At 42.5% G+C, this 24,777-nt stretch overlaps 1 long non-coding RNA gene across 1 annotated transcript; it reads left to right on the plus strand.

The window, feature by feature from the left end:
- Positions 1-17,480: 17,480 nt before the first annotated feature.
- Positions 17,481-24,472, plus strand: LOC124904991 (uncharacterized). Its single transcript, XR_007067800.1, has 2 exons — positions 17,481-19,666; positions 20,496-24,472. It is a non-coding gene; the product is annotated as an uncharacterized LOC124904991 (long non-coding RNA).
- Positions 24,473-24,777: the final 305 nt, after the last annotated feature.

Consider the following 24,777-nt stretch of genomic DNA (forward strand, 5'->3'; position numbering starts at 1 on the left):
ACAAACTTTAGGATATTATCCAGGAGAACTTCCTCAACCTAGCAAGACAGGCCAACATTCAAATTCAGGAAATACAGAGAACATCACTAAGATACTCCTCGAGAAGAGCAACTCCAAGACACATAATCGCCAGACTCTCCAAGGTTGAAATGAAGGAAATAATGTTAAGGGCAGACAGAGAGAGAAGTCAGGTTACCTACAAATGGAGGCCCATCAGACTAACAGCAGATCTCTTTGCAGAAACTCTAGAAGCCAGAAGAGAGTGGGGGCCAATATTCAACATTCTTAAATAAAATAATTTTCAACTCAGAATTTCATATCCAGCCAAACTAATCTTCAAAAGCAAAGGGGAAATAAAGTCCTTCACAGACAAGCAAATGCTGAGGGATTATGTCACCACCAGGCATGCCTTACAAAATCTCCTGAAGGAAACACTAAATATGGAAAGGAAAATATGGTTCACCACTGCAAAACCACACCAAAATATAAAGACCAATCGATACTATGAAAAAACTGCATCAACGAATGTGCAAAATAACCAGCTAGCATCATGATAACAGGATCAAATTCACACATAACAATATTAACCATAAATATAAGTGGGCTAAATACCTCAATTAAGAGACAGAGCCTGGCAAATTGGTTAAACAGTCAAGAATCTTTGGTGTGCTATATTCAGGAGACACATCTCACATGCAAAGACACACATAGGCTTAAAATAAAGGGAAGGAGAAATGGCAAATGGAAAGCAAAAAAAGCAACAACAACAACAAAAAAAGCAAGGTTTCAATCCTAGTTTCTTGTAAAACAGACTTTAAACCAAGATGAAAAAAGACAAAGAAGGGCACTACATAAAGGTAAAGGGATCAATGCAACAAGAAGAGCTAACTATCCTATATATATACCTACCCAACAGAGGAGCACTGAGATTCATAAAACAAGTTCTTACAGACCTATAAAGAGACGTAGACTCCCACACAATAACACTGGGAAGTTTTAACACCCCACTGCCAATATTAGACAGATCAATGAGACAGAAAATTAACAAGGATATTCAGGATTTGAAATCAGCTCTGGACTAAGCGGACCTAATAGACAACTACAGAACTCTCCATGCCAGAAGAACAGAATATACATTCTTCTCCATGCCACATAGCACATATTCTAAAATTGACCACATAATTGGAAGCAAAACACTCCTCAACAAATGGAAAAAATGGCAACCATAACAAACTGTCTCTCAGACCACAGTGCAATCAAATCAGAACTCAGGATTAAGAAACTCACTCAAAACCACATAAATACATGGAAATTGAACAACCTGCTCCTGAACGACTACTGAGTAAATGACAAAATTAAGAGAGAAATTAAGTTTTTTTTGAAACAAATGAGAACAAAGAGACAATGTACCAGAATCTCTTGGACACAGCTAAAGCAGTTTTAAGAGGGGATATGCTAGCACTAAATGCCCACAACAGAAAGCTGGAATGATCTGAAATCGACACCCTAACATCACAATTAAAACAACTAGAGAATCAAGAGGAAACAAATTCAAAAACTAGCTGAAGGAAAGAAACAACTAAGATCAGAGCAGAACTGAAGGAGATAGAGACAAGAAAAACTGTTCAAAATCAATGACTCCACTAGCTGGTTTTTTGAAAAGATTAACAAAAGAGACGGACCACTAGCTAGATTAATAAAGAAGAAAAGAAAGAAGAAACAAATAGACACATTAAAAAATGATAAACAGGATATCACCACTGATTCCACAGAAATAAAAACTACCATGAGAGAATACTATAGACATCTCCACACAAATCAACTAGAAAATATAGAAGAAATGGATAAATTTCTGGACACATACACTTTCCCAAGACTAAGCCAGGAAGAAGTTGAATCCCTGAATAGACCAATAAAAAGTTCTGAAATTGAGGCAGTAATTAATAGCCTACCAATAAAAAAACGCTCAGAACCAGATGGATTCACAGCCGAATTTTACCAGAAGCATAAAGAGCAGCTGGTAACATTTCTTCTTAAACTATTCTAAACAATTGAAAAGGAGGGACTCCTCCCTAATTCATTTTATGAGGTCACCATCATAATGATACCAAAACCTCGCAAAGACACAACCGCAACAAAAATTTCAGGCCAATATCCCTCATGAACATCGATGTAAAAATCCTCAATAAAATACTGGCAAACTGAAACCAGCAGCACATCGAAAATGTTATCCACCATGATCACGTCAGCTTCATCCCTGGGATTCAAGGCTGGTTCAACGTATGCAAATTAATAAATGTAATCCATCACATAAACAGAACCAATGACAGAAACCACAGGATTTTCTCAATAGATGCACAAAAGGCCTTAGATTAAATTTAATATCCCTTCATGTTAAAAGCTCTAAATAAACTACGTATTGACGGAAAAAGTCTCGAAATAATCAGAGCTGTTTATGACAAACCCCTAGCCAATATCATACTTAATAGGCAAGTGCCGGAAGCATTCCCTTTGAAAACCAGCACAAGACAAGGATGTCCTCCCTCAGCACTCCTATTCAAGATAGTATTGGAAGTTCTGGCCAGGGTAATCAGGCAAGTGAAAGAAATAAAGGGTATGCAAATAGGAAGAGAGGAAGTCATATTGGTACCAAAACAGATATATAGACAGAGGGAACAGAACAGAGACCTCAGATTGCAGGGATATGGAGGAAGCTGGAAGCCATCATTCTCAGCAAACTAACAGGAACAGAAAACCAAACACCACATGTTCTCACTCATAAGTGAAATTTGAACAATGAAAACACATGGACACAGGGAGGGGAACATCACACATCAGGGCTTGTCAGGGGGCAAAGTGAAGGAGAGCACTAGGACAAATATCTAATATATGTGGGGCTTAAAACCTAGCTGACAGTTTGATAGATGCAGCAAACCACCATGGCAAATATAAAACTATGTAACAAGTCTGCACATTCTGCACATGTATCCCAGAACTTAAAGTATAAATAAATAAATAAATCTCCAGCAAGGAAGGAAACCAGAGATCAGGTTGGAGTCTTGCTATTCACATCTGAGTATACAGACTCACTCCCCAACTCTCTTATTTTTATTCTGCCAGCTCTGACCTGAATATGAACATAACAAACACACAAGAGTTCCAACACCTGACAATCGGCTTCTGCCCAAGAAGTGTGCCCTCTCTTTTGTCCATCCTGCAACTCATGGTACAAAGAAGTGGTGTGGGGCTGCCCAGATGAGATGATGAGAGAGGCCTGGCCTCGATGGACATGTCCTGGGCTGCTCTGTGTTATCTGTAGGTGCACTTGGCCAATGGCCAGGGGTATCAGGAATGAGGGCTGAGTTGATATCTGTGTTATCAGAGAAGGCTTTTACATTGAGGCTTTGTAAGGCTAGAACTCAGAAATATCAAGGCACAATGAAAGGACATCTCACTCTCTTGAGCATCTCTCACCAACAGAGGTGGATACAGAGCTGTCTCAAGAATGTGGGTTCCTGGTTTCTTAACTGCTGTGGGGTTCTGTCACCAGGAAAGTGTGTTAAACTCTTCAAGGTTCCATCTACTGGGCCCCTTATTTCTATAAGACCTACCCAAAGGCCCCACTATGCTATTGATTGCTCAGTCTCCTCTTCCATGTCAACTCTTTATTTGTACACAATTATGCAAACACAACTTCCCCTTAATTCCCTGGAAAGACCTAAATGCATCCTGGGTTCCAGGATATAAGAGACAGCTGGAAAATAACCTTGTTTTTCTTACCATCTCTGGGACCTAATAAAAGTCACTGTGTATTTGAGGCTTCCCCAGCCTCCTAGCGTGCACAGTGGGGATAATGTTATCTACTTCCTAGGGAATGTATCAGATGTATATAAGATAAAATGTAAAAATCGTGGTGTAGTTTCACATGTAAATAATGCACACACTTAGAGATGGAAGCATTAGGAGAATAGGTGGGAGGTAGCATGGGCCACAACTCAGGTAGGCCTGGGGTCCAGCAGTGTAATCTTGGGAAAGTCACTTCCCCACTGGGCTTCAGTTTCATTCTGCTGCAGTACGAGGTTGAAATTAAATGTAGATATCATCCTCTGGCACTGATGTGGTTTAGCTGTGTGTCCCCACCCAAACCTCATTTTGTATTATAACCTCCAGGTGTTAAGGGAGAAACCTGAGGGGAGTTGATTGGATTATGGGGACGGGTTTTTCTTATGCTGTTCTTGTGATAGTGAGTGAGTTCTCAAGAGATCTGATGGTTTCATAAGCTTCTGGTGTATCCCCTGCTCTCACTCACTTCACTTGTTGGCCACCATAATTGGAAGGTTTCTGAGCCTCCCCCACCCAATCTTGTGGAACTGTGAGTCAATTAAACCTCTTTTCTTTATAAATTACCCAGTCCCAGGTATTCCATCATTGCGGTATAAAAATGGACTAATACAACTATTAAACTTTCTAGTGACTTCTTATTATATATAGAATTATATCCATGTGCCTTATCTCACCTAAGTTGGGGAAAGCCTTCACAAAGTCTCCCAGCACTAGGTGGTTAGTGACTCAGTTTGTTATTGAACAAAATGACCTACTGCTCGATGCCAGTAGTATGGCACTTGGGTTTTGAGAAAAATGGCATCTTGTTGTAGGTTGGCCAACAGGAGACAGGAGTCCAGCTGAAATCAGTTTCCTTATATAGGCTTTAAGGTGTTGATTAAAAAATGCTTAAGAAGTGGGCTCTGGATTAGGAGGGGATTGCTGGAAGGAAAGTAGTAATATGGAAAGTCATGAGACATGCACAGTCATCTCCTCTTGTTTCCTCACAGGTCACATGAATATTCAGGGAGTGTTAATATGAAACATGCAACGGAAATTTGGGCTCTAACATCAGCAAACTCATTCTCCATGGACTTCAGTTGGCCATATTGCTTCCAACATATTTCAGCCAATTTTTTAAAATCTTATAAGCAGAGGAGATTTAAGTGTTTCAACAAGCTGTTTCTTATCTTTCATTCTGAATATCCAATTTTTAAGTCTTTTTTTTTTAACAGTTTGAAGGCACAAATTCAGCTTCTGTCAAATGGAATACAGAATAGTGTATGACTTTTGTATTAGTTCAGGCTGCTATACCAAAGAACCATGAACTAGACAGCTTATAGACAACAGGATTTAATTTCTCACACTCCTAGAGGTTGGAAATTTGAGATCAGGGTATCAGCATGGTTGAGCTCTGGTGATGACTCTTCTGAATTTCAGACTGCACACATCAAATTTTATTCTCATTTGGTAGAAGGAGACAGACATCCCTCTGGGGTTTCCTGTGTAAAGCCAGTAATCTCAATCATGATGGCCTCAACCTCAGGAGTTAATTACAACCTATCTCCTTATAGCATTACACTGGGGGTTACAATTTTAATACAAATTATTGTAACTCTCAAGTTTTTTTAAAGCTGTCATTATTCCTCCTACTGGGTTTTTCCTATTTGCTTCCTCAGTCTTTCCATTTCTTTATGTCTCTTTGTGTGAAACTGTTTGCCTAATTCTGTCTCTCAATTGTATTCCTCAAACAGAGGAAGCAAGCTCCAATGCTATGAGATGCTCTATGTACAGACGCACATAACAAAGAACGGAGGGAGTGCTCAGGCAGTAGACAGAAGTAAAGTCATGCTCTCAGTCTACCCTGAACCCTGCCAATTTTCACAAGCATGAGCTTAAAGGTTGATGCTTTTCCGGTCCACATTCAGTTGAGACCACAGCCCCAATCTCATAAGAGACCTGAAGGCAGAGGCAGCTAACTAAACTGTGTCCAGATTCTGGTCCACACAAATTGTGAGATACTATATACTATTGAAAGGTGCTAAGTTTTAGGGCAATGTTGTCAGAAAGGAGCAGATATCTAGCCTCATCTCCCAAGCCCCAGGATTCTCCATGCCTCTGCTTATCTCTTCCTCAGGCTGTCTGTACCAAATTGGTCCCTTTCTAATCTCTGCCAAACTCACACCTGTAAGACTCTTCACCAAGGGTGGCTTCTCACTGACACATTCTTGTGCAGAGATGCCTCCCTGTTATCATTCTCATCATGGATTAAAGATCACCTCAGTGAGGACTTTGGGTCCCCCCATTCAATGACTTTGCAGCTCTTCTTCTCAACATTCTACTTTATATAATAGTCCTTGCTCTTTTCTTTTATATATACTTGCTTTAGTGCTTTTGTCGAGCTGACTTCAGACTGTTCTGTCCTTGGAGGGGTATGCAGGCATGATGTAATCATTTTCTGTGCCACATGTTGGACCCACCAGGGTAGCTGGCAAAGGGTGAGTGCAAGGGAAAAAAGATTGGCTAAGTGGGCAATGTGGAAATTGTTGATAATAACATGAGGTGTGTGACTCTTACTTGCTCCAGCTGCTCCAGCAAAGCTCAATAGGCACCAGAAACACAGCAGGCTGTAACCACCTCCAGGCCATCACTAACACTGCAGCCCCATGCAGGAACATTATGGAACAAATCAGGTACCATTGTTTTGTGTCCTCAAGACACTGACTCTTTGGAGTTCCAGAGGACAAAGGAGCAGAATCTGAAGGCTCCAAGTACACTGAGTGACCTTGGAATCCTCCATTGCCCTCTCTTTGCCTCCACCATTTGGAGTGTGCCATTTACTCATGAGGCACCCTCCCCTTATCCAGGGAAATTATTTAATACGACTTTCAAATGAGGAGCTCAAAAACCCAACAGGAACTGGCATTTTCCCATGACTTCAGACTCAGGGTCCAGTGTTCTGACACGTTTAGCTCTATCCCATCTTTATCTACCCAAAATGCCTCTGGAGTGGCCATGCCTCTCTCTGATTTGAAGGGCCTCCAGGGAGTAGAAGCATTTCTGCAGAGTTTCAGAGCAAAGAGTCTTAGTTCACCAATGAAGAATCAAGGCTGGCAGACACTTATGAGTATGTGAAACAATCAAGGTTACCCACTTCGAGCACCCCTATTTATGAGGAAGAAAACAGTCTTCTCTGTAGCCATTGTCTACATTAGGCTGAGGTGGAGCATAGCTCATTTTACTTCCAGCTCTCCACAGAAGTGGATACAGAACCCCAGTCCTGTCCTCTTGAAACCGACCTGGAGAGGACCCCATGTGAGACACAACCCTGGAACTGCTCATTCTCTGTGCCCCTGGATATGTATCTAGGGAAGCGGATGCCCTTGCCTTATGGCAGATCTGCCCGCCCAGCTATTCATTTGTAATACATGGCCTTTAATGCTTTGAAGTGAATTTACTTTACACCTAATTTGTTGAGAGTTTTTATCATAAAGCGATGTTCCTTTTTGGAAAAAAGTTTTATTCGTCTATTTAAATGTTATGCTTGATCCTGGGTCTGTCGTTCTGATCAGAAGCTGACAGGTGCATCCATTCCTAGAGGAGAGCATGAGAACATCAGTTCTCACATTCTGTGATCATGACCTGCTTATAATGTCCACTCTGAGTGTCTGACTCCCTGAAGTAAATTGTGGCCCAGGAACTGTCATCTGTTGTCTTCACTGAATTAGGCCAAGTGTCTGGAAAACTGCGTTATATATATGTGATGAATAAATAAGCCCTAACTACAACCTTTTTAGCTATGTCTGAGTGTGCCTGGGGACTCTTTCCTACAGGATCTCTCTGTTTCAAGGACAAAGTCCAGCTAACAGGAAGCTCAAGTGCCCTTTACAAATGTAAGAACATGTTTGTTTTCTATATGATTGTCTAATTATAGAGGGACATGAGTCACTGTGACATGAAAGACCTTCTGGGGTGAAAGAAGAGAAAAAAGTAATAAATACGAACAATCAGAGCATGCCCCAGCAGGCTTTCCACAAAGCCGAGCATTAGGAAACCACTTTTCATATTGTATGCCATTCATTTCTCACAAAAAACATATAAGGTTGTGGGGGAAAGTTAAATATTAAATTTGAATTCAATTGAACATGGACAAAAGCAATGGTCATTAAGTCTCAGACAGGTTGCATGAGCCGCTTGAAGCATTCATCTGGCACTGTTTTGGAGAAATATCTATTTCAATCTATTCCTATGTGTTAGTTATTGAAAAACCACAGACAATTGCAAAAACAAGATAACCTTTTCAAGTTCCTTGAGCCCAGTTGTGAAGAGCCCTCGTGACTGGGCCTCATGCCAAACAACTCATTACAAAAAGAACTAGGGCTCTAGGCCACGCTGAAACTTCCTAAGACCTCTTCTTGTCTGTGCAGGGATGGGTGACCTACTCTGGAGTCGAGGCTGTTGCTTCCCGGTCTGGTAATGAATCCTCCGCAGTCTGGTGGGCGTAAATATGTATATATGTTTCCCTTCTCCCCTTCCCATTGCAATTTGCTTATTATAGCTGCACTGCCATTTACGTCAGATAAAGCTTGTTTACCCTTAAAGGTTTTTTTGGGTGTGTTTTCTTCTCCCCTTGCATGTCTCTCGTACAGAACAGAGGTTCATTTTACAATTCTCTATAAAGATGCAAATTGAGGCTGATAAAGATGCACTGGTATGCTAAGACACAGTTAGTAGCTGGCAGAGTCACCACTGTGCCTTGGAGAAGACATATGCTCAACTACTAGACAGCTGGTCCAGGAACTACAGAGTGGTGAGGAAGTCCTGGTAAAACTTGAGAAAAATGATAAAAAGAAGAGAGTTTGACCCTGGAAGGCTGCTGTCAGGGACTTCGTCAGCTTCTCCGTTGTGCCTGGTTTGGCGCATTGGCATCATTCACACCTCTAGGTTAAGAATAGACTCATTTCCTCTTGGGGAGGGGACAAGACTTTTCATGGCAAGACCATGAAACACCAGAGGCTTGGAATGTGGAGCTTGGATGAGGAAATCTCCATCCTTCAGAGACTTGGGCATGTGGAGGACATGGGTGTTTATGGTGAAAAAGGTTTTAGGCCTCTGATATCAAATTTAATGTGGAGGTAGAGAATAATTAATCCATGAATACAGTCAAGGCCTTCACGATATCATATCAGCTGTAAGACAACAGCACCCACTTGTATTAATAATCTTTATGAAGAGCATTATCCCAGAGAATTCCCAAAAAAACATACTCAGCCTACAAATGAGAAAATAAAGCTTTGTGATGTCAAATGGCTGCTCAGAAAAACACAAGTAAGAAAGAGAATCTTCCACGGTGGGGGTTGCATGAAATTCCCTTTAAGCTACCTGAGGCTCTATGTCTGTCCCTGACTTAGGGGGAAGGGCATGGGGAAGGCTCACTTTCTTTCTGTTTTAGAGACAGGGCACAGGATAAGATACCCTAAGACAACCCTTTTGACTTAAAGCAACTGAACTGGGTCTTTTAAAACCTTAAAGGGAGTGTTGAGAAATAACTACAGCAACCCCACACCTGACAAAGGTGTCAGTGCTTGGGGACTCCAAGGTGAGAGAAACCCCTCACAGGGCCAAGGAATTGAGCGGATTAACTGAGGGAACAGAAAACTCAAATAAGTATAAATCAACTGAAAGGTAACTCAAATATATCAGTTGAAAAATTGAAATAGAAACATGTTTTTTTGCCACATAGATAGCAGATTGACAAAAAAATTAAAAGAATGTTGACAACCAAGAGGTTCTGGATACATAAAAGCAGATAAATTCAGAAACTACTATTTACAGTACGGCTTTCACAACCCTTTTGGAATATATTCCGGCTTCTCCTATTAAACCTTTACACTTTCCTACTGTTTCACTGAGTAATCATTTTCCTGGGAGACTATAATCTACAAGGGATTAGTAAATGTTGTGAGCTAGATTGCATTCCCTTCCTAAAAATTATATGTTCATGTCCTAACACCTAGTGCCTCAGAACATGACTATATTTGAACATATAGCCTCTGCAAATGTAGTTAGGTTTAAGTGAATTAATTGGGGTGTATCCTAATTCCAGATGACTGGAGCCCTTATTAGAAGAGGCAGGAAGGACAGAAAAGCACAAGAGAAGATCTTGTGAACACAGATATAGTAGATGACGATCTACAAGCCAAGGATGGAGACCTCAGAGAAACCACACAGCCAGTAGCTTGAGGTTGGATTTCTAACTTCCAGAATTGTGCGACATTCAGTTTTTGTTGTTAAAGAACTTCAGCCTGTGGTACTGTATTAGGGAAGTCATAGCAAAGCGTTACAGCCTATTAGGACACAGATAAGATGTTCCCTGTAGCGGCTGGGCGCGGTGGCTTACACCTGTAATCCTAGCACTTTGGGAGGCCGAGGCGAGTGGATCACGAGGTCAGGAGATCGAGACCATCCTAGCTAACACGGTGAAACTCTGTCTCTACTAAAAAAAAAACCACACACACACAGAGAAAAAAAATTAGCCGGGCGTGGTGACAGGCGCCTGTAGTCCCAGCTACTCAGGAGGCTGAAGCAGGAAGATGGCGTGAACCCAGGAGGCAGAGTGCAGTGAGCCGAGACTGCACCACTGCACTCCCACCTGGGCGACAGAGCGAGACTCCGTCTCAAAAAAAAAAAAAAAAAAAAAAAGATATTCCCTGTAGCATGGCTGAAGTGGAAATAGAATTTATTATGTCAGGCTCCACCAGTATTAAAAGCCTAAATTACTGAGGGAAAGGCCCCACTTATGGAATCTTATAAAGACATATGAGGACACAGCTCCTGTCCTGATGGGGCTATAGAGGTGGGCTCTGGGACACATATGTAAAGAGTCATATAAGACCCTTTTGCATAACTCCCACTTTTTGGGTGAAACCTCTCTCTAGTAACAGTGTGAACTTCTAAGACTTAGAGAAGGTCTGGCAAGGCAGCGAAGCTGCCTGCTCCAGGAAGTATGTGGGGTAGGTAGATATAACAATAAAAATAATAGCAAAATGCAAAGATACTCACAACTTAATGTAAAGTAATAACAACACAAAAGTGTTTCTTTTGACATTCCTGCAAGCATATGACCAGGGACTGTGCACCTAAGTTGCCATTATGGACTAATGGAGGCCAAATTCCTCTGGGAAGGAACTGTGGGTCCTTAATGGAGAAAGCCCTAAAACGGTTTCTGGGGAATCCTCACATTTGGGTCAGGGTCCTGGGCTTCCCTGGTCTTTTCCATTTGGAGACCTCTCTGTGCCCACCTTGACTCCAGACTAGCACGGGCCATGGTTGTTGGCATGATGCACCTGCCTTTTGTTCAATGAGATGGAGTAGTTGGACTCATCAAACAGCTCCTCAGGGATCTCCTCAATAGAGTTCTGCAAAGAGAGTGCCTGGAAGCCTGGCCAAGAGGCATCAATGGCATCCTGGCTTTCCCCACAGGGGAAATTCCAGTTAGAAAGTCTACTCCCCAGATCAGGCACATAGGAGCATTTGCGCAGACCTCCAGCCAGGGAGAAAACAAGAGGACAGCTTGAAGCCTTAGAATAAATGTCTGAACAAACAAAGGTGACCCCCAGCACTCACCTTCCCCTCCTGCCAACTGTAACCTGCGGTATAAATTTGACAGGCTTTTAGCCTCCCAATACCTGGAAACCTGCTCCTGCCAAGAAAGGACCCATTATCTCTTTCTTTCCCACGAGACGTGGAGATGAGGAGGGGTGTGTGCCTGCCGAGATGATATCAAAGGTGAGGCCTGGCCTGGATAGGCCTGCCATGGGTGGCCTTGTGTTATCTATGGGTAACCCTTTCCAAATGGCCAGAAGAGCCAGCAGTGCAGAATGAGCACTGTCTCCATCATAAAAAAAAGTCTCTCTGTTCAAGCCTTCCTGAGATGAGAGCCTCAGAAATTCAAGACATAGCAGGAGAACATCTTGCTGTCTTCAGAGTCTCCTTAGTAAATACAAAGCTGTCTCTAGAATTAGGGCTCCAGGTTACCAGAGTTCTAAACTTTCTTTGAGTTTGTAACTAAGGAAGTGAGGTCACTTCGAGATTCCATCACCTGGGCTCCGGTGCGGGAAATGAACGAGGGGAAAAGAAAAGGCACCCACAATAGTTTTAAGGATAAATAGCCTTTATCCCAAGTGTATGGCAATACAGACTTGATAAGCAAATAATATAATAAGCAAATTGCAATGGGAAGGACAGAAAGAAAATATATATATGTATATTTATATACATATACATGTATATAAATATACATATATGTATATGTATATTTACACGCACCAGACTATGGAGGATTCATTACCAGACTGGGAAGCAACAGCCTGGGCTCCAGAGTCAGCCACGTGTCCATGCACAGATGAGGAGAGGTCTCATGAAACTTCAGCACAGTCTGGGACCCTAGCTCTTTTTGTAATGTGTTGTTTGGCATGAGGCGCAGTCACAGGTGCCCTTCACAACTGGGCTCAAGGAACACAAAAGATCAACTTGTTTTTGCAATTGTCTGTTGTTTTTTCAATAACTAATGTATAGGAATGGATTGAAAGATTTCTCTGAAACAGCGCTGGATGAACACCTCAAGGGGTTCATGCAACCTGTTCCAGGACTTCGTGACCATTGTTTGTGCCCATGTTCAATTGAGTTCATATTAAATATTTAACTTTTCCTCCACATTAGATTCCCAATTCTCAGAACCATGTCCACTGCCACAGGGCCTGGCTGGGAATATTGTCACTCATAGAGTTTAGAAGATGGAATGCTGGTCAGTGATGATGCTAGGGTGTTAGGTGAAGGCAGCCGGGACAGTCCCTCTAGGTTGAGGGAGGAGCTGGCCTCTCTTGTGGGGTCCTTGGCATGTCATTGCCGCTTTGGGCCTCTGTTTTCTTATGTGGAAAATGTAGGAATGATGAGCCTGTTGGGCAGGCCTCACAAGGTGGTGATGGGGCTCAGGGAGACAGAGAATCTGAGGGTGCTTGTGTCTGGCTCATCCTGAGAGGGAAGATGGTGACAGCAATCATGACAACCACATGAAACCGAGGTGGTAAGAGGCCTTGTGAGGTGGTTGGTTCCCACCACACTTTCCAGTTGAGGAAACAGCTCAGGGAAACCCGACTGCATGCCCAAAATGACACATCCAGGGAGTGTTGGACCTGGGAGTGAGTCTAGAGTCAGAGCTTACTGGAGATGGTCAGAGCATTGGACAAGCTGACTCAGGCCACTTATCCGTGTCCAAGGTTAGTGTGGCTGAGGCGTAACTGAAAGAAGCATATTTTCACTGACCTTGTCCCTCATCCTAGCAGGTGAACACCGTACAAGTTGTCTACCCTGTAGCGGAGCCTCAGAGAGCTTAGATGAGGCTGTGACAGCAGAAGGTGAATGTGTCTGTGATGGGGAAGGGCTCCAGGGTTTCAGAGAACAGAGCTTACTTCTCCCAGCTGGAAACCTCCAAATCAAAAAAGCAGAGGGCCTTTCTACTCCAGCCCTTTTCTCCTGGGGCTGCAGTGCCTAAAACACCTTCATTAGACAGACCAGAGCAAGGCCTGGGAGAGCTGGGCTCCGTGTGGCTTTTAAAACAGGTGGAGCCAGGGACCACATGACCTTGTGGCTTGTTAAAATCCCACCAAGGAGGTAATTATGGTGAGGTTGGTGGCAATAGAGGCCAGCTAATGGGAAGACATAGAGAATTGGGAAAAGGCAGCTGAGGGTTCTCAGCTACTCCAAGTGGGTAACCTAGGTAGAGGGCGCCAGGAGGCAGGGGTTTATAAGAGTTCAGCGGACAGGACTTGGGTGGGCACCTCCCAAGTCATGCCCTCTCTGGGGACATTCCTCACTGATGTGGTGATGCTGGACATTGCCATGAAGGAGTGTGTGGATGTGAGTGAGCCTGGAGAAGACAGGTCAGGGACCAGGATCCTGAGGCCTGGGAGAAGAGAGTCTTGAACTGAGCTCCTAGATCTCAGTCCTTGCCAAAATTTTTTGCGAGGGCCTCGCAGCCCTCCCCATCCCGTAAACAGGGTATTTTACTCATGAGTGATGGAGGCTCCACAGCAGCCATCAGTCCCACTCCCTGAGTAGTGAAGCTGCAGAGCTGCAAGACCTCTTTTGTGCACATTCCCTGACCCTGGTGGCTCTGGTAGTGGTGAAGCTTGGAAATCGCTGGAAATGGAGGCTAGTTATGGACCAGCGGACCTTTCTGATGGTCTTTGGCTTTCTGTCTTCCAGAGAAATGTGATCAAAACCCAGAAAAACAGAAAGGTGAGCAGTAGCTGAAGTCCTCACTTTGAGGGAGGGTGGAGGTGGAAATGAGAAATCACCCTGGGCAGGACATTCCCTGGTCCCTTCTTCCGCATCTAAGATTTATTGAAAGGGAGTAATACACAGAGAAGGAGGAGACCTATCCTAATGCAGGGTGCAATCAGGGGAGTGAAGTTGATGACAACTTCCTAGAGGAAGGGCCGTTTACATTCAACTCTGAGAACCAGTTAGGGCTGCATGATATTGGAGGGGAGGTGAGAGCCCCTTAAAAGAAACACCTCAGAGACCAGCCCTCCTCCCTTCTTTTATAAGGCCCCTACAGAGTCTTTCACCCAGGCCCTGTCAGCATCCTGTCTTTCCCTCTGTTTCCAGAAGATTAAAGTCCTCCAGGAGATGCAGCAGTTCCACACAGCTGGAAACCATCATCATCTTCAGACTCAAGAGGAATTTCGGGCTTTGTTCCAAGCCTGGAGCAGCACAATCAGAATAAAAGGCAAAGACCTAGCAGATGAGCAGAGGGTAGGAGGGGAGACTGTCTTGCCGCCAGCCTCACACAGCGTGTGGCCATGGTTCCCTGGCCGGCATCAGGTCCTGTTGCACCTGGACTCCAGCTGCTGGGGAGGAACTGGGGGACCTGAGGTGTGGCTTCTGGAACCTCACAGCTGTCACTCTTCTCTGAAGTTGCTAGCCATGAAGAACAGGCTGTGATAAAATCTCAGAGCCATTAAGTGCCTGTTGTTGGAATTGCTTTCATGGCTCATTGAAGTTTGTACTAAGCATGGGCTCTGGCAGTCAGGCAGCTCAAGTAGGGTTCCAGCCACACCATTGACCAGCCCTGCGAGTGGGGCAGAAAGCTCACTACTCTGGCACTTGAGGCATCACGTCGTAAATTTAATGCAACCAATCCCTTTTTCACTGTTACCTACCTTTCTCTATAAACACCATGACCTGATCTCTGCTAGCATTTTTCTTAAAATGGATAAACATATGTTATATAGTATATATTATTCTTCCTCATGATTTTTTTGCTATATTGTCTCTTTCCACTCATATGAGATATTTACAGCAGTTAAGTTCATAGAAACACGAAGTAGAAGAGTAGTTTCCAGGGACTACACAAAGGGCAATGGAAGGGGAGTGTTGTTTACTGGGTACAGAGTTTCACTTTTAAAAGATTGAAAAACAGTTCCTTATGAACTTGGACAATGGTTGCAAAACAATGTGAATGTATTTAATTTCTTTAAACTGCACACAAAAAAAATAATAAAATGGTTAATTTCATGTATTTTTATATTTTACTAAAAGGTAAAAACTACTTTCTAAAATGAACAGACTATAGCTATTTGCAACTGGTGGGTGAATATCACAAATGTAATGTTGCATAAAAGAAAGCAGACATGCCAGTTTGGGCAACATAGTGAAACCCTGTCTCTACCAAAAATACAAAACAATTAGCCGGGCATGGTGGTGCAAGGCTGCGGTCCCAGTGACTCAAAAGGCTGAAGTGGAAGGATATCTTAAGCCTGGTAGGCAGAGGTTGCAGTGAGATCATGCCACTGCACACCAACCTGGGGAAAAGAAAGAAAGAAAAAAGAAGAGAGAAAGAAAGAAGGAAAGAAAGAGAGAAAGAAAGAAGACAGAAAAGGAAAGAAAGAAAGAAAACAGAAAAGGAAATAAAGAAAACAGATGTACAAGTATACATACTATATAATTTTGTTTATATAAAATGCTACAATCAAATAAAACTGAGGTTCTGACTTCCACTAAGTGTGGACTAGCTTGTTGAACTCTCACAAATAACAATGATGAAACTTGAATAAAATATATTATTATAGAAAAACGCCTATGCATAATACATATATGATATGTGTGTTTAACAACTGAATGAAGATTTCAGCTATACCCACTGTAGCGGACATAAGCATTGGTTTGACACTAGCCCAATGAACCCTGTTTATAAAACAAAAGTCTTCAAGGTAAAACAGCAAAATCCAGAGTTTCTATTCTATAATTATCATTTATAGTTTCTAGTGCACAATTTTAAAATTCATAAGACTTGTAAAGAAACGTGAAAATGTCATCCATACACAATATCAAAAGCAGGCAGTAGAAGCTATCCCAGGATGTTGCAATCAGCAGACAAGAATTTGAAGGCAGTTTTTATGAATATGTTCATGGGGAAAAAAGAAAATATTCTATTCATAAACAAACAGATGTGGAACTTCAGCAGAGAAATGAACATATATATAAAAAAATTATAGATAAGGAAATGAAAAAAATCTTTTGAGTTTAGCCATAGATTTAAAACAGAAGACACAGCAATAGAAATTATCCAGTCTGGAAAAAAAAAAGTACAAAAAGTTTAAAGGAAATGAACAGAACTCTCGAGACCTGTGGAATGACTGAGTCTAAGGAGAAGGGAGAGACAAAAAATAATTAAATAGGGAACAGAAGTAAATCAACAACTAATAGCGGAATACTTCCAAAAACTGTCCAAATACCTAAATATTTATATCCAAAAGGTCAATAAATACAAAACAAAATACAAATAAAACCACAGCAAGGCCATATCGTGGTTTATGAAACAGGCAAGGCAGGGCTTTTGCTTGACTTGCTGTGATATCTAATTGCTACTATTTATGGATACTATGGAAATAAATACTAAATAGAATGGGAGATAGGTTATTCTCAGAGTTTTTTTTTTTTTTTTTTTTGCAAAGATGACTGTTATTAAAGGTAGATGACTTTCCAGCATGTCGAAAGGGGCGTGGCAGGGGAGGGGCGAGGAGAAGGGTCGGGGCTGAGGGAGGGGCCCTGCAAAGGTCTGGGCGCGCCCAGCTCCCCGAAAGCAAGCGTTACAGCAACGCTGGGCAGGCTGTTGGAGGCTCCCGGGCTCTGTCTTGTCAGAGAGAAATCAAACTTCAGGCACAAATAGTCGTACAACTGGCACGTGGGGAGACTGTGCCACAATTACAAGTGAGACCACCTGCCCTGGCCACGCTGTCTCCTCGCACGCAGAAGTTTGGGAACAGATAGGCTCCCCTCAGCAGGGCGGAATTGCACTGGAAACATGGAGGGGCGGAGGAGAAGATGAAATTATCCCCTCAGTGTTGGAACTGTAGTCTCAGAGAAGATGAAATTTTCCCCGTAGTGTTGGAACTGTAGTCTCAGATCCACTCCCAGCCTTTCTGTCGCGGCAGTCGGACTATGATCCCAGCATGCGCTGGGCTTAAGGGAGGTTCCCAGCCCTGGAGGAAGGGTCAACAGGGTGGGTCCCTCGCAAGGCGTCCTGGGAGTCATAGTCCTTAAACAGTTTCCAGCACGTTGATCGCAAGGCTACCGAACTACAATGCCAGCATGCACCGGGATTGGGGCGGTGTGTAACGCTGGAGGGAAGGATAGAGAGGCGCGTCCCTGGCCAGGGATGCTGGGAGTTATGGTCTCTTAACGGTTTCCAGCGATGGCCCCCGGCCTGCAGACTACAATCCCAGCAGCCACCGGGCTTCGAGGCGGTGTGTAGCACTGAAGGGAAGGATAGGGAGGTGCGTCCTTAGCCAGGCGTGCTGGCAGTTATGGTCTCTTAACAGTTTCCAGTCAGTTGGTCCCAGGACTACCTGACTACAATCCCAGTATGCGTTGGGCTTGGGGGCGGTGCGCAGCCCTAGAGGAAGGATCGGGACGGCGGGTACCTCGCAAAGCATCCTGGGAGTCATAGTCCTTTCAGTATTTCCAGCCCATTGGTCGCGAGGCTAACGGACTACAATCTCAGCATGCGCTGGGTTTGGGGGCGGTGTGTAGTATGGAAGCGAAGGATAGGGAGGCGCGTCCCTAGCTAGGAGTGCTGGGAGTTATGGTGTCTTAACGGTTTCCAGCCCATTGGTCGCCGACCTGCTAACTACAAAACCAGCATGCGCTGTCTGTCCTACCCCGTGGTGCGCAGCCCTGGAGGGAGGGACAGGGCGGTGTGGACTCGTCCTTTCCTAAGCGATGCCACATGCTGATTCTGTGCCACCCCCTCGCCAAGGGAGTCCGCAGAAGGACTTGAGGGGCAGGTCTAGGCTGGGCGATGAGGACGGTGTGACCCTGCGAAGTGCACCTCCCTTGCTCAAATCGGAGGGGTCTGGTCCTCACTGAACAGCCCGCTGAACATCTCGGTGTCCTCTCACATACACACCCGCGGGGGGTTTCCAGAGCATCGCACCTCTTCCAGCCCAGGGAGCCGCCTGCTCTGCTAAACTCTATGGGAACTGAGACATCCACCTGCTGCGTGACCCACCCGTGCGCAACTTCAGAGCTTTCAGGGGGTGATGCGGGCTGTGGCTCCTTCGTGAAAATGTCACCGTCTGCAGCGCCTTTCTTGTGATATAGAACTTGACGGGTGAGAGCGGGTATTTCTTGGGTTACTCAGGATCTGCTAACAGCAGAGGAGAAAACCACAATTCCCAGGCATAAGAATCTACCTAAAGACGATGGTTTAGATATTTTACAGTTGAAATCACCAGCCTCATCTCAACTGAGTCCTGACTGACGAGTGTCTCAAAAAAGCAGTTGGTGACCTCATCCCTCAGGAACAGGTGGTGCTCCAGCTTTGTGGGGATGACTTTCAAGGTGCAGAGCACTTGAGCCGCATTTGAAGTCATTCATGTTTTACATCTCTGCTTTGGATGGAAAGTTGATCCCCCACAGCCGTTGGGGATGTACCTTAATATACTGGGGCTTATGAGTTAAATTTTTCTGTCTAGACAATGAAAACCCAGAAGTTCCACTTGCAGGTAGCCTCTTAATAATCGACGTCCCTAAGTTCCTTATGTCCTCAGGATAGTTCCTTTTGTTCCCAGATGTTACCAACTTTGATGATGCATCTAATCTGTATAAACCTGTGTATTTCTCTATGTGAAAAGAATACTTTGTTCAAATTACATGTTCTTATAATTTTCACTTGTGATCGGTGAGTATGGGACACTATAAAAAAATCCTGAAAAACCTCATCATAGCAATTGAATCACGTTACTGTACTTTATGAGGAATTAACCCCTTCAGGATGAATTACTCATGGGTTCATCAGCACATTTGTGAAGAAAGGAAGAAAAACTGTATGGCCTTTATGAAATTGGAAAAATAAAGAACTATATATAGGAGGACCACAGCACAATACTAGGGCCCTTCTCTTATTTTAAATAGACTCTATGGGGTCGAATGCCTGCATTCCTAACCTATCCTGCAGTATTCTCATCCTACTCTTCACTGTGTATTTAGGTGTGGGTTTCTGAATTCACTTGTCCACAGCGTTAGTGGGGATGTTGTAACGTGAGGGTATCCATCATCTATCATCTTAATAATTAGTGAAGAGAAGAGCCTTGAGATCTGTCTTCAGATACACTGCTGCCGAGTATGTGCCTGCAAAGACACTGCCCACACCGGTGGTCTCAGAAAGTTGAACCTGATGCCACCACAAGCTGCTGTTCACAGATCTAGGTGCTCCTGGTGATTTGAGTCTCCTGCTTACATTTGTGGTTGTGAACCTGCTATGCTCACCCCATTTATGGTAGTATATTTTGTGTCACCTTTTCTATTCCATTTGTTTCCTGGGAACTCACTGTGTAGCTGCAATTCAGAGAATATGTAGGGATTCCACCCCCGACTACCTAAGTCACTGTACACTGGTCACATTTGTGTCATGTTTTCAGACTACACACTCTTCCTCTCTAATGGAATTTGTTGAAGAAATATAGTTGCCTGTAGATCTCCTCAGTGTAATGTGGCTGGGATTGATTGTGAAGCTGGGCATGTTGTCCTTGGCCTCATAGACATTATTCAAAATACCTTTCCCATATTTTGAAGTTTGATACTACTTTGTTAATGTGAACACTTGCCATAGCAGGCTCTATTAAATATCTCTGTGAATTTAACTGTCAAAACAACTTATGAAGTAGGCACATGATCCCCATTTTACAGGTGAGGAAACAAATGTTCCAAGATTTTGAGTAATTTTATTAACTTTACACAGCTTTCTGGTGCATTTTGAATCTTAAGTTGGATCTCTTTCTCCACAATATATGGGCTTACCTCCTTTTCTATTTTGTGCCTCTCTGCTAGCATCTGCAAGGGTACATTTTATTTTTAGTACATCTTCCACTTGATGGTAGGAAACTTGACAAACAGATCCTTAGTGGGAGAGGAAACTCACTGGCATTTGTCCTTCTCTCTGCTCCTTCTTACCCTGGCAGGCATGAGACTTATCAAGTGAGATGGAGCAGTGGTAGATCCTGACCAGTCCTCACCTGGAATATTTGTTATTATAAAAAAATAGTCCTCTCATTTTTTACAAGTGTAACTTCTTTGCCTTAAAGTTTTGTCTGGGCTTTCTCTTACAGGTTCCTGCGAATTAAGTTGCAAATATTGATGAAGATAATACTACTGCCTTGCTGTCAAACAGTAACAGTCACCTTTTTTTGTATCTCCAATTATAAATGCAATGCGTACTGTAAAAAGAAAAGAAAACATCATAAATATCTTTATAAAGTAAAAGTCTTGGCTGGTCGCCGGGAGCAGTGACTCATGCCTGTAATCTCAGCACTTTGTGAGGCCGAGGTGGGTGGATCATGAGGTCAGGAATTTGAGGCCAGCCTAGCTGACATGGTGGAACCCCATCTCTGCTAAAAAATACAAAAATTAGCTGGTCTCGGTGGCGGGTGCCTATAATCCCAGCTACCCACGAGGCTGAGGCAGGAGAATCACTTGAACCCAGGAGGCAAATGGTGCAGTGAGCCAAGATCGTGCCATTGCACTCTAGCCTGGGCAACAGAGTGAGACTCCATCTCAAAAACAAAACCAAACAAAAAACTTGGTTGGCCTAGTGGCTCAATCCCAGCACTTTGGGAGCCCAAGGCAGGTGAATTGTTTGAGCCCAGAAGCTCAAGACCAGTGTGAGCAACATGGTAAAACCCTCTCTCTACAAAAATACAAAAATTAACCAGTTGTGGTGATGTACACCTGTATTCCCAGCTACTAGGGAGGCTGAGGTGGGAGGATTGTTTGAGCCTGGGAGGCCAAGTTTGCAGTGAGCTGAAATCACACCACTGCGCTTCCATGTGGGCAACAAAGTGAGACCCTGACTCAAAAAATAAAAAACACATTAAACTGAAAGTCCCCTTTATTCCCTTCTCTTCAAACTCACTTTTTTTATTTGAAAAAACTGTTAAGAGGTTGTTTTTTATTCTTCTGGCTAAGTTGTATAAATTTCTTTTTTTTTCGAGACAGACTCTCGCTCTGTTGTCCAGGCTGGAGTGCAGCGGCGCGATCCCGGCTCACTGCAAGCTCTGCCTCCCGGTTTCACGCCATTCTCCTGCCTCAGCCTCCCGAGTAGCTGAGACTAGAGTTGCCCGCCACCACACCCGGCTAATTTTTTGTATTTTTAGTAGAGACAGGGTTTCACCGTGTTAGCCAGGATGGTCTTGGTCTCGATATCCGGCCCCCTGATCTGCCCACTTCGTCTTCTCAGAGTGCTGGGATTAGAGGCGTGAGCCACCGCCCCCGGCCTGTTCTATAAATTTCTAAGTGATACACACATAAAGTTTATTTTAAAAATTACATCACACTACATTAAAATTTACTCTTTCTCCAGGTGTATTCCATCTATCTATCTATCTATCTATCATCTATCATCTATCTATCTATGACAAGGCCTTGCTCTGTCACACAGACTGGAGTTCAGTAGCTCAATTATGGCTCACTGCAGACTCAAACTCTCAGGCTCAAATGATTTTCTAACTTCAGCTTCTGAAGTAGCTGGGAGTACAGGTGCATGCCACTACTCCTGGTTAATTTTTAGTTTTTGTTTGTTTTTTTCTTTAAACAGGGTCTCACTGTGTCACCTGGGCTGGAATGCAATGCATAATCACAGCTCACTCTAGCCTTGACCACTCAGGCTCAGGCAATTCTCCTGCCTCAGCCTCCTGAGCAGATGGGACCACAAATGTGTATTAACACACTTGGCTGTTTATTATTATTTGCAGAGACAGGGTCTCCCTATCCTGCCCAGGCATGTTGTGAACTCTTGTGCTTAAGCAATCTGCTACCTCGGCCTCCCAAATTGCTGGAATTACAGGTGTGAGCCACCACAACTTACCCAGCCTTTTTACTTTGTGTAAGAATAGCATCAGTGTATTAAAAATACAACGGAAATTATTTATGGTGTCTTTTCAATTCTTATGCATTAAAATTCTCTTATTAGGGCCTTTTATTAATGGTTACAGTGTATTTTCTGTGAAATTTTACTGTCACACACTGCATGCCAATGATTCAAGATACCCGAACTTCATGAATGCACAGTCACAGTAGAATATTTTAGTTATCTAAAAAGTATTTTCATAAATGATATATCAAGTTTATATGCAAGGTAGCCTGGTCTGGTAGCAGGTGCTTGTAATCTCAGTGAAGGCTGAGGCAGGAGAATGGTTTGAACTCAGGAGGCGGAGGTTGAAATGAGCCGTCGTCTCGCCACTGCACTTCAGCTTGGGTGACAGAGTGAGACTCTGTCTCAAAAAAAGAAAAAAACTTTGCTTGCAAGATTTTATGAGTAAATATGTTTCTTATTTTTCTTTACAATTCCATATTACTGTCTCGATTATTTATAATAGGTTCCAGGGCAGCAGTTGATTTTATTTTGGGTTTTACTTATGTATTATAACTTTGGATGTTATAATTTCCAACTCTGCCTGTACACTTCAAGTCAATGTGGATTTTTAAAAAAATGTTAATAGTACAAACTATTCATAGATTCAACTTCGTAATGTTAAAAGCAACGGCAGCTCCTGGTTTAAAAAGGGAACGGTGGAAGCAGCCGGCCATTTTATTTAAAATCGCGTTAGATTTTTCAGAAGGATGATAGTTAAGATCATTAAATCCCATTACTGCTTCTAAGATTTCCACAAAATAGCACATTAAATCCTCAGTCCTAAACAATCACGACAGAGATTCAAAATTGCCTCTCAATGTCAAGGTAAACAGCGCACTATCTTCTCTTGCAATAAAGGTACATCATTTGATATACAAGGGAGCATAGCAGTCAGACACTTACAAGATCGTGCTGTAGAAATAACTTCCATGTTTTCATCCGCCATGTGTATCCTCACCTCTGTCTCCCATGCAGTAACACTATCAGTTTCCTCATCTGTCCTTTCTACTTTCTTTTAAAGAGGAGGCTGATTGCAGACAATACATGACAGAGGCATTTCAAATCAGAAAGGAGTTTCTTGAGATATACGTGATTTTAGTTTTAAGTAGAATGTCCTGAAGAGTTTTAGTTACAATACCACCTTCAAGAGGATGGTGGTGAAATTCATAGTAAACATTTGGCAAAATATAGGTTATGAGGCAGCCATCTCCTAGAAACACTTCATCGGGGTTTATATATGAAATGTGAAATATCGTAGGTTTAATCCTGGCACAGAACCAAAACTGAGTGCATTGCACTTGAACAGCTGACCAATCCCCAGCACAGGTCCATATGAAGAAACGGAGAAGAAAGAATCCTTTTAACCACAGAAAGGTCTTCATTTGCCCAAACTGAAAACCAAATTTCACTCAGGAAACTAATGTTGGGTTTAATTAAAATATAAATCGGTCATACGTTTTCAAAATTAAATTATATATGTGTTTGTCTCTATAAATATGTCCCCAACTTTGCTCATGGCTTATCTTCCATATTTTTTGGCTGATTTTCAGTGGTTGTCTTATCTTGTGTGGATGAATAGTCATTGAAATAATCTTAATTTCACAATGTGTTTAATTATAAATCTATACTTCCTTTGTGTGAGAGAAAATCTTTTGTGAACAAAATTTAATTTTTGGAAAGCTTTATAAGTCCATATTTTTCCTTTTAAAAATTGCGATTGTGGTAAAAACACATAATGTAAAATTTACCATTTTAATTCTTTTTAAGTGTATATTTCATTAGCGTTAAGTACATTCACATAGTTATGCAAAAGATCTGTAGAACTTCTATGTCTTGCAAAACTAACATTAAATGTCTTTTAAGACAATTGCCCATTTTACCATCTCTTCAGTCCTTGACAAACACCATTCTAACTTTTTTTTTCTATGAGTTTGTCTACTTAAGATACCTGATTATGAATGGAATCATAGACTGTCACTTTGTTCCTGGCTTATTTCAGTTAACGTGATATTCTCAAGAATAATCATATAATGTGACTTTTTAAAGACTGAATAATATTCGACTTTGTGTATGTGCCACTTGTTGTTAATCTCTTCATTGGTCAAGGGACAGCTGGGTTGTTTCTGCCTTTTGGCTTGTGTTAGTAATGCTGCAATAAATTTGGGTGTGCAAATATCTCTTCCGGATCATGTGTTGTATATTTTAAATACATAGCCAGAATGGGGTTTGCTGGATTGTATAATAATCTCATTTTAAATTTTTTGAAGAGCTTTCATACTATTTTAAAAATAGGTTTGATGTGATAGATTATTGTGACTTTTCTTTGTATTTTTCTAGAAGAGAGTTGTCGAGTATCCTTTTAAATGCCTAGTCATTTCTATGTCTTCTTTGGAGAAAGTCATTTCAAACATGTGCCATTCTAAATCAAGTTATTAACTTTTTTTGTTGTTGAGTTTTAGGAATTTATATATTTTGAAAAT

The sequence above is a fragment of the Homo sapiens genome, chromosome 21 (assembly GCF_000001405.40).
Source record: "Homo sapiens chromosome 21, GRCh38.p14 Primary Assembly".
In the NCBI taxonomy this organism is placed as follows: domain Eukaryota; kingdom Metazoa; phylum Chordata; class Mammalia; order Primates; family Hominidae; genus Homo; species Homo sapiens.